The sequence below is a fragment of the Homo sapiens genome, chromosome 9 (genome assembly GCF_000001405.40).
Source record: "Homo sapiens chromosome 9, GRCh38.p14 Primary Assembly".
NCBI lineage: Eukaryota > Metazoa > Chordata > Mammalia > Primates > Hominidae > Homo > Homo sapiens.
The window spans coordinates 26,613,362-26,624,193 of NC_000009.12; the positions used below are offsets into that span (position 1 = coordinate 26,613,362).

The 10,832-nt window shown below is 39.4% G+C and overlaps 1 annotated feature.

Annotated features, from left to right (window-relative positions):
* Positions 450–744: a silencer, noted in NCBI's record as "tiled region #5633; HepG2 Repressive non-DNase unmatched - State 13:Ctcf". NCBI's record gives its function as "represses a minimal TATA promoter and a strong SV40 promoter by Sharpr-MPRA in HepG2 cells {active_cell/tissue: HepG2}" and the evidence as "EXISTENCE:reporter gene assay evidence [ECO:0000049][PMID:27701403]".

The window sequence follows — 10,832 nt, forward strand, 5'->3', positions numbered from 1 at the left end:
TGGTGTAGGGTCCAGCCCCACAGGGTCGGTGGGTCTCTCCCCATGTGCAAAGACGAGAGAGTGTAGAAATAAAGACACAAGATAAAGAGATAAAAGAAAAGGCAGCTGGGCCCGGGGGACCACTACCACCAAGTCACGGAGACCGGTAGTGGCCCCGAATGTCTGGCCGCACTGTTATTTATTGGATACAAAGCAAAAGGGGCAGGGTAAAGAGTGTGAGTCATCTCCAATGATAGGTAAGGTCACGTGGGTCACATGTCCACTGGACAGGGGGCCCTTCCCTGCCTGGCAGCTGAGGCAGAGAGAAAGAGGAGACAGAGAAAGAAACAACTTACACCATTATTTCTGCTTATTAGAGACTTTCAGTACTTTCACTAACTTGCTACTGCTATCTAGAAGGCAGAGCCAGGTGTACAGGATGGAACATGAAGGCAGACTAGGAACATGACCACTGAAGCACAGCATCACAGGGAGACGGTTAGGCCTCTGGATAACTGTGGGCGAGCCTGACTGATGTCAGGCTCTCCACAAGAGGTGGAGGAGCAGAGTCTTCTCTAAACTCCCCCCGGGGAAAGGGAGACTTCCTTTCCCGGTCTGCTAAGTAGCCAGTGTTTTTCCTTGACACTGAGGCTACCGCTAGACCACTGTCCGCTCGGCAATGGGCGTCTTCCCAGATGCTGGCGTTACCGCTAGACCAAGGAGCCCTCTGGTGGCCCTGTCTGGGCATAACAGAAGGCTCGCACTCTTGTCTTCTGGTCACTCCTCACTATGTCCCCTCAGCTCCTATCTCTGTATGGCCTGGTTTTTCCTAGGTTATGATTATAAAGCAAGGATTATTATAATATTGGAACAAAGAGTAATTGCTACAAACTAATGATTAATGATATTCATATATAATTATATCTAAGATCTATATCTGGTATAACTATTCTTATTTTATATTTTATTATACTGGAACAGCTCGTGTCCTCAGTCTCTTGCCTCGGCACCTGGGTGGCTTGCCGCCCACACTTGGCAGGTAGAGGTGGGAGGATTGCTTGAGCCTGGGAGCCAGAGGTTGCAGTGAGCTGAGATCATGCCACTGCACTCCAGCCTGGGTGACAGAGCCAGACCGTGCCTCATAAAAAAGTAAGAAAACATAGTTTTGCTAACACCTTGATTTCAAATGTCTAGCTTCCAAAATGTGAGATGATAACATTCTACTGTTTTAAGCCACCTAATTATTTCATGGTACTTTGAAGCAGCAGCACTAGGAAACAGGTACAAATGACAAAGTGAAAAATAATTTGGAAACTCTATGTGATAAGAATATAGAACGATGTATGTCATAGGATTCTCTATATTTTTATTTTTGAGGTAGTTCATAATGTTTTTTTAAAAACGAGATCCCTAGATGACACAGCAATGAGAGTACAAGGCAGCAGTGTTTGGGAGACTGAAGCATATGTTTCCTAGTTGGGGTGACTGTAGGAACTCAGAAACAGTAACCTGAGCTATGAGCCAGACCCACAATATGTGGAATGAGAGAAACAAATGTGGATCTGATTCAAAGGGATTCATGGCATAGGCAGGTATATCAGTTATCTATTGCCTCAATAATGCTGCATAACAAACAACGACAAAATCCAGTGGCTTAAAATGATTAGCATTTATTTCACTCAATAGTCTGTGGGTTGACTGAATAGTTCTGCTGGTCTGGGCCAGACTTGGCTGATCTTAGCTGGGCTCACTCAAGCAATATTCATTCTGTGGTCTGAGGGGACCCCAGAATGGCCTCAGCTGAGATGAATTGCCTTTGTCCCTCAAGGTCTCTAATCCTCCAGGAGACTAGTCTGGCCATATTCTCATGGCAAAGGCAGAGGAACAAGAAACAAAAGCATTCAAGTGTTTTTGCAAGCCCCATTGGTCAAAGCAAACACTGGGCTAAGTCCCTCCAGAGTCAGAGCGGGAGTTGCCTACAGTGTTACAGGGCAAAGGGCAGAGAGGCCATGAAATGGTGTCATCAATGTAATCAATCTTCCACAACAGCTTCCATGATATTAAAATTAGACAACCAGAACAGGAAAGGAGAAAAACTGCTAGGCACAATGTGATGAGTTGAAAAACAAATCTTAATCATGACCACCTGGAGATACCTGTGGGAACTTCCTGAACGAGTAGGGAGAAATATAGAGATAAGATGCCCACAGAATAGGGGGTAGAGGGGTTGCTGGGGGTGGGCAGAATTAGAGCAATACTCATCTCTATTATTGTGACCCTTTTTTTACCCTATCCAGACAACTCTAGTGAGTCACTAGTGATACCAGGGACAGTTTTACTGTTGAGTTCTACAAAACTGGTGGCATACAAATCTCCCCTCCCAGTGTTGGGTCACAGTGTTTCCCAAAGGTACCCAGGAAAATCAGCATTTGCAGCTATGACCACTGCCCATGCTTCCAGGCTAAGGCTGATACACATTCTGAGTAAAAAGGTTAAACACAACCATCTGGTGCTTTCATTTCTTCCCCTTTTGGCCACTACCATGGCTCTTCTGCCAAGTGTCCAAAAAACACAGCACACAGAGATAGTATCCTGCAAAACACTCCAGTGAAAAGCTTATCTGACAGTTCATCTAAAACAATGGTGACAAAGTAATATCAAATTCAGAGTGCCAGGAAGCCTGCTTCCCTACCTGCAAGGGGATATGGGTGACCATTGTTATTTAATTAATGACAATATTCAAAATAACTCACTCTGTCTCCAGGAAACCCCTGTGAGAAATTTCTCCATCCAAAATGTGCTTCCCTTACGGGAAAGAAAGCTAACTTCTTGCTCTCAGATCCGTAACTTGACCTACTGGAATTCTAGGTGAGAGACTTATTGTAATTAAGAAGCAGTATCAGGCCGAGCGCGGTGGCTCACGCCTGTAATCCCAACACTTTGGGAGGCCGAGACAGGTGGATCACGAGGTCTGGAAATCTAGACCATCCTGGTCAACACGGTGAAATCCCGTCTCTACTAAAAAAAAAAAAACAAAAACTAGCTGGGCATGGTGGCACGTGCCTGTGGTCCCAGCTACTTGGGAGGCTGAGGCAGAAGAATCGCTTGAAACCAGGAGGCGGAGGTTGTAGTGAGCCAAGATCATGCCACTGCAATCTCTGTTGACAGAGCAAGACTCTATCTCAAAAAAAAGAAAAAGAAGTGGTACCTGTATGAGTGGTTATAGAAGAAAAATACTCTAAAACAATCTTATTTAGTTATGGAATTTCCAGGGAATCACAGAAATGGAAATCTTATGTGAGCCTGTTGAGAACGAAAAGTGTTTATTTAGTTGCCTGTATCTGGTATTTGGTGGGGATGGTGCAGACACACAGAAACAATAGAAAGCTAATTCTGTTGATAGTGTGGACTCTCATTTAAAGATGGAGACTAGCCCAGACTCCATTCTTGCCCCTTTGTCCTCACACATTCTGTATCTTGGAAGTGGCAGATTGATTTATGTGGTTTGAAAACTTGCATGATCATATTTGTTCTGTATCACATGTGCAGACTTCCTGGGAAAAAAGATGTGATCACTCATTTTTTTCGGTACACTAGACCTTCTCTTCATATCTCTTCTCCAAAATGCATAAAATTAAATCACTGGTTTTCTTCCCTGTGTCTACGTCTTAGACCTGCATAGACAAAAACTGGCAAGAGATAAGGGCAACCAACATTTATTGAGCCACTAATGTGAGTCCCGTCTTCAATGACCAGTTGGCACTAATATAACTAAAATGACAGATAAGTCACTATTATGCACGTAGTTTCTAGCTCCTCCATGGTATCTAATCTCTGTCTCCTATAGGAATTATACTATACATTCCTGAGGACATGCATCCAATTCCATCCATCCAATGGAATAAAAGGTTTACTTACTCATATTGGCTGACTTGCTTTGCAAACAGTATCAGATAATATGAAATTTATTTTGAGGTTTAACTTACATAAAGTACATATATCTTAAATGTACAGCTCAGAGGATCTTTACATATGTGCGCACACATATAAAGCCACCAAGATAAAGATATAAAACATTTTCAGCATCTCAAAAGACATCCTCATGTTCCCCACCATTAATATTCCCCAGGACTAAATATTATTCTGACTTCTATCACTTTAGGTTAGCTGTGCCTACTTTGGGGTCTTTTATACATCTTTCATGTCTCTACTTATGTTCAGTATTCCCTCTGTCTTCTTAAGTACATGGAATATGGTTATAATCACTGTTTTTATATCTTTTTATACTAATTCTATAATCTGTGTCATTTCTGAGTTTTAATTGATTGATTTTTCTCCTCATTATGGGTTATACTTTCCAGCTTCTTTACATGCATGATAATTTTTATTAGATACCAGATATTTTAACCTTTAGGGTACTGGCTATTTTTTTCTATAAATATTCTTGAGCTTTATTCTGGGACATGGTTCAGTTACATGGAAACAGTTGAATTATTTTGGGTCTTGCTTTGAGCTTTATTAGGTGGAACCAGAGCTAGGGCTAATATTTTGCAACTACTGAGTTAGTACTCTACCCAATTCTCTGTAAATTATGAGGTTTTTATATTCGGGGTGATGGGAAAAGGAGCCAGTCTGGTCACACAGTGATCTCCAAGGATTATTCTCACTAATCTTTTTGGATGGTTCTTTCCCTTACATGCAAGCACCAATAAGTATTTGGCTGAAGTCTCAAAGGAGTCCTTCTCAAGAATCTTTGGATTTCTCTCATCTCCAGTACTTGGCCCTGAGAACTCTAACTACCTTGACTTCCTAGACTGGCAGCTTCATCTCCTGTACTAGAGAAGCTGCAGACCTTCAGCAGACCTTCATCTACATTCTTCCTCTGAGCACTGCAATCTAGAAACTCTCTCCAGGCTTCACCTACTTTCTTTCTCATCTCTCAAAGATCACTGTCTGTTGCCTGCTGTCTAGTATCTTGAAAACCACTGTTTCATATATTTTGTCTGAAATTGTTTGTTTCAGGAAGAATAAATCTGGTCCCAGGTCATCGCCCTTGGTCAGAAGTAGAAGTCGTTGTTTTGCCTGTTTTTGAACTTTATTTAAATGCAATCATATTGTATGTTCTCTTTTGCATCAGACTTCATCAACTCAACATTATGCCTGATCCATCCACGTTTTTGCATGTATTAGTAGCTTGATATTGTTTGTTTTAGCTATTTATATTTCCACCAATAATATTTTTAAATTGTTTTAGAAATTAATAATTACCCTCAAAGTCTTTTACAAGAATGACATTAGTAAAAGCTTTCAGAAATCATGGATTTGAATCTTGAGTTTGACAATTCTTATCTCTTTGCCCTTGAACACACCCGTACAGTTATTGGCTCAAAATTAGTTCAAGTGCTTTATACTATTCTGTTTTCTAAAAATATAAAGTGATTTTTACTTATGGAATCACTGATTCTTGGTTTTCCTTTGTTTTCTCTACAACATAGCAAGAATGTGGCATCTACCCTGTCCAAGTAATTTCAATTCTTACAGAAGGGTTCACTGAGTGACAAGTGGAAATAAGTACTTTCTAAATACACAGTACTAGGGAACTAAGGAAAACAATGATCACATTTAGTAGCCCAGATACTACTGCTCTGTTACCATACAATTAAGGGACTTAACTTCCCCTAGAAGTAACTATGTTTTTAAAAATTCTAGATTATCAGTACCTTTTAAACTCAAAGGCATACTGAGTAGGCTCCAGCAGGTTTGTTTTCAGTGATATGATTGGGCTTCAAAGGACACCAGAAGTTTACTTTATGCATTTTCCCTTTTGGATGTAACTTTCATCATATTAATGAAGTAAGAAATTTCATTTGTATAAAAGATGAGCATGCTCTGATAATTTGGTTATAATGACATTGAGCTCAGTAAAGATAAATACACTGCAGGAGTCTACTCTGCAAATATAAATTCAATTTCTTTCAATGCTTTGAGTTTTTATTTTTTTCTTAAGTGGCTGAACATTAATTATTCCAATATCAGATAACAAACTTTCATCATTTTGAGGACAAACTACTGTCATATCAAATGAAAATGTTTAAGAGAATTTCATTTGAAACGATGTATTCTTTTTTTAATTTATACACTTTATTTATTAAAATTAAGTAATTTATGATACGAAAGACATTCTAAAACATAAGTCATTGGAATCAATGTATTCTTTTAAAATAACCTATTAGGTCTTAACTTTTCCTCTCAATGAGGATTCCTCAAGATTTCCAAAGGTACTGGTCTTCTGAAAGAGATCTCCTGCTCATCTACCACTGTCAGCTCTTTCAATCAGCAGTCAGGTCGATGAACCAGAGTTTTGTTTTTTGTTTTTGATGTGGGCTCAAAGCAAAATAAAGAAAAAGTAAACGCACTGGAGAGTGGTGGTTAATTTGGGACAAATGGAGTTAGACAGCTTCTGCTTCCTGTTAGTTAAATGGCATTGGGAATGTTATTCACCTCTTAGGCTAAGGTCAGGAGTTCGAGACCAGCCTGACCAACATGGAGAAACTCCATCTCTACTGAAAATACAAAATTAGCCTGGTATGGTGGCACATGCCTGTAATCCCAATTACTCAAAGAATGAGGCAGGAGAATCACTTGAACCCAGGAGTCAGAGGTTGCAGTGAGCCCAGACCACACCATTGCATTCCAGCCTGGACAACAAGAGCGAAACTCCATCTCAAAAAATAATAAGATGCTCCTTGTTATCTCTTCTCTCTCAAAACATCCTGGTCCTCTAAGGCCTATTCTGGAGACAATCTCCTTCTAATAATAATACCTTCTATCAGGTTTATATAGATATATTTAGATATAAATATTGATATAGTGAGCCAAGATGTTGCCACTGCACTCCAGCCTGGACAACAGAGGGAGACTCCGACTGAAAAAAATCTTGATATGCATATCTATATGTGTATCTAAAGAGCTACATGGTGATGGAAATGAAAAAAACTGATATTAGATACATGTGAATTATCTAAAAATAGTGAATTAGATAAACAGAGCCTGTACTTGGAATCATGGCTTCCACTACAAAGAATTAATTACCTTAAGTTTAAAAGTTCAGCTGGAAAAAATCCCATCCCTGAACTTCCTTGACAGAATTATAGAGATCAGGAAGAAAAGCTTACTAGCATCCAGCTTTGAGGGAAAGCAGCTTGGTTTGATGCCCTTAACAATCAAACCAACTTAGAAAAATCTCAGTATTGGATTGTGGCCATCCTGCTGAGGTCCCATCCATAAAGGCTTCCCTGGAAATTAGGAACTGCTTTAGTAGAATTTAAGATTAGTTTTGTCATAGTTTGTTCACCCCCTTTGGTATCCTCTCTGGCTCTATTATTTAGTAGCTGTTTAATATTTTTGCTTCTCTCCTAGATCCACTATTGTCTTCCTGAATAATTAGACAGGCATCTTTGGTCTTCATCTAAAAGAGATGCAGAATGCCCTGAAGGGTCAGTGTGATGGCTGACCTCCACATACCAACCCTTTGTGGTGCAAGATTTGGAGGAGTAGGATTACAGGTGGCCCTTTTTGTGCAGATTAGCGTTCTCCTTTTCTGTTGTCCCTAGTTCTCCCTCTCCTTTTGTGTAAGTGGACATGTAGGTAAAGGATAGTAAACTTACAGCCTGGAGTGTGGTGTGCAGTTCCCCTGTCTTCATTCTGACTCTGACAGGACCCTCTGCTTCACCCCAGGGTTTTGCCTGCTGTGCCTCTTTCTCTATTCAGGACTCAGCTATTTTTTGAGTTGGCCCATCCTGACATCAAAGTTCAATTAGTAAATCGAACCAGATTTCTGTTTTCTCTCTCTAGCCAAATTACCATACACCTCATGGAATTAAGGTAGGAGGGTGGGTGTGTGCATGTGTGTTAAATAATTTTCGAACTTCGGGGAAATACAAGTTACTTAAATACTGGTTTTATTATTTGAGGCAGAAGTTGGCAAAAGGCAAGGCAATTCACTCAATACCTGAGAATACAACTTACAAGAGATGTGAAGGACCTCTTCAAGGAGAACTACAAACCACTGCTCAAGGAAATAAGAGAGGACACAAACAAATGGAAAAACATTCCACTCTCATGGATAGGAAGACACGTTATCATGAAAATGGCCATACTGCCCAAAGTAGTTTAGAGATTCAATGCTATCCCAATCAAGCTACCATTGACTTTCTTCACAGAATTAGAAAAAACGACTCTAATTTCATTTGGAACCAAAAAAGAGCTCATATAGCCAATACAATCCTAAGCAAAAAGAACAAAGCTGGAGGCATCACACTACCTGACTTCATACTACAAGGTTACAGTAACCAAAACAGCATGGTACTGGTACCAAAACACATATGTAAACCAATGGAACAGAACAGAGGCCTCAGAAATAAAGCCACACATCTACAACCACCTGATCTTTGACAAACCTGATGAAAACAAGCAATGGGGAAAGGACTCCCTATTTAATAAATGACGTTGGGAAAACTGGCTAGCCATATACAGAAAACTGAAACTGGACCCCTTCCTTATACCTCACACAAAAATTAACTCAAGATGGATTAAAGACTTAAACATAAGACATAAAACCATAAACACCCTAGAAGAAAACCTAGGCAATACCATTCAAGACATAGGCATGGGCAAAGACTTCATGACTAAAACACCAAAAGCAACTGCAACAAAAGCCAAAATATACAAATGGGGTCTAATTAAACTAAAGGGCTTCTGCACAGCAAAAGAAACTCTTATCAGAGTGAACGGACAACCTACGGAAAGGGAGGAAATTTTTGCAATCTATCCATCTGACAAAGGGCTAATATCCAAAATCTACAAGGAACTTGAACAAATTTACAAGAAAAAAAACAACCCCATCAAAAAGTGGGCAAACGATATAAACAGACACTTCTCAAAAGAAGACATTTATGCAGACAACAAACATGGAAAAAAGCTCATCATCACTGGTCATTAGAGAAATGCAAATCAAAACCACAATGAAATACCATCTCATGCCAGTTAGAATGGAATCATTAAAACATCAGGAAACAATAGATGCTGGAGAGGATGTGGAGAAATAGGAACACTTTTACACTGTTGGTGGGAGTGTAAATTAGTTCAACCGTTGTGGAAGACAGTGTGGTGATTCCTCAAGGATCTAGAACTGGAAATACCATTTGATCCAGCAATCCCATTATTGGGTATATACCCAATAAATCATTCTACTATAAAGACACATGCACACTTATGTTTATTGCAGCACTCTTCACAATAGCAAAGACTTGGAACCAACCCAAATGCCCATCAATGATAGACTGGATAATGAAAAGGTGGCACATATACACCATGGAATACTATGCAGCCATAAAAAAGGATGAGTTCATGTCCTTCGCAGGGACATGGATGAAGCTGGAAGCCATCATTCTCAGCAAACTAACACAGGAACAGAAAACCAAATACCACATGTTCTCACTTACAGTTGAACAATGAGACACATGGACACAGGGAGGGGAACATCACATACTGGGGCCTGTCGGGGGGTAGGGGCTAAGGGAGGGATAGCATTAGGAGGAATTACCTAGTGTAGATGACGGATTGATGGGTGCAGCAAACCAACATGGCCCATGTATACCTATGTAACAAACCTGCACATTCTGCACATGTATCCCAAAACTTAAAGTATAATTAAAAAAAGAAATAAATAAATGAAGAAGGCAAGGCAGGAATGCTTGCTTCTGTAAACTGAATTCTTGAGCCTATTACTTCCTGTTAAGCCTTTGGCAGAGAAGTAATAAGGGCCTTTCCAGGGATTTGCTGGATCTGTAGGTGAAAGGCATGTGTAGTCTGAAACAAAAGAGGGGACCAGAGTACATAAATAACACGTGGGGGATAAAAATCCAGAAATTAACTACTTAGCCACTTATCTTGAGTCTGTGGTTTATAAACCTGAGTTTGATTGTTTGGGAAAGAAACCATTTGTTCAATCATTTTTCTCTAGGCCACCTACATATTCTGTCCTCCACTCAAATCCCATAAATGGCTAGAGGTGCATTTAGCACCCCTGGCAATTGAAAAAAAAATGACAGATTCACCACTTTGGAAAATAATTTGGAAAAAAGAGTTTCAAAACCCATAAAAACCCTCACGTCCTCTGACTCAGTAGTCTAACTCTAGGGAATTAAGTGAAAGAAGTGCTATATACAAAAATGTTTATTTTTAATGTTTGTAATAAAAGCAATGGGGTAAAAAACAATGGAACATACAAAAATATGACGTGGTTTATGAAATCAATAAAATATATGGTCATTGAAAATATTTATTAGAAGACAATAACACAGAAGAATATTCAATGCAATATTTTAAAATAACAGAATTGTATCCCAACTCTGGCTGGAAATACATAATAATCATATCTACATATGATCAAATAACAGAAAAGTCTATGGAAAGTGAAAATGGAAACTTTTTCATAAGTTATTTTGCCTTTCTTTTCTTTTTATTATAATGTTAGAATAGAAAAAATACTGGCAGAATATGAAATCCACGCTCATTCATGAATCTAGTTACCTAAGAAGGGAGTAACTTCTGTCTTGGTAAATCATTTCCACATTCTCTGACCAAAAGGTTGACACAACACTGGAGGTGGGAAATTAACAGATTGTTCTTCCCAAAAGAAAAGAAGCTGCTCATCCCTAAGTGCAGTGGTGGATGTTTGTTTTGGCTCTGTTTAAAACTTTCTTTTGTTATACAACACATTAAAAATAGGCCTGTGAGAGAGCTCTCCTTTGGAGAAACAAAAAGAAATATTGGGAGAAGTATTGAGAACC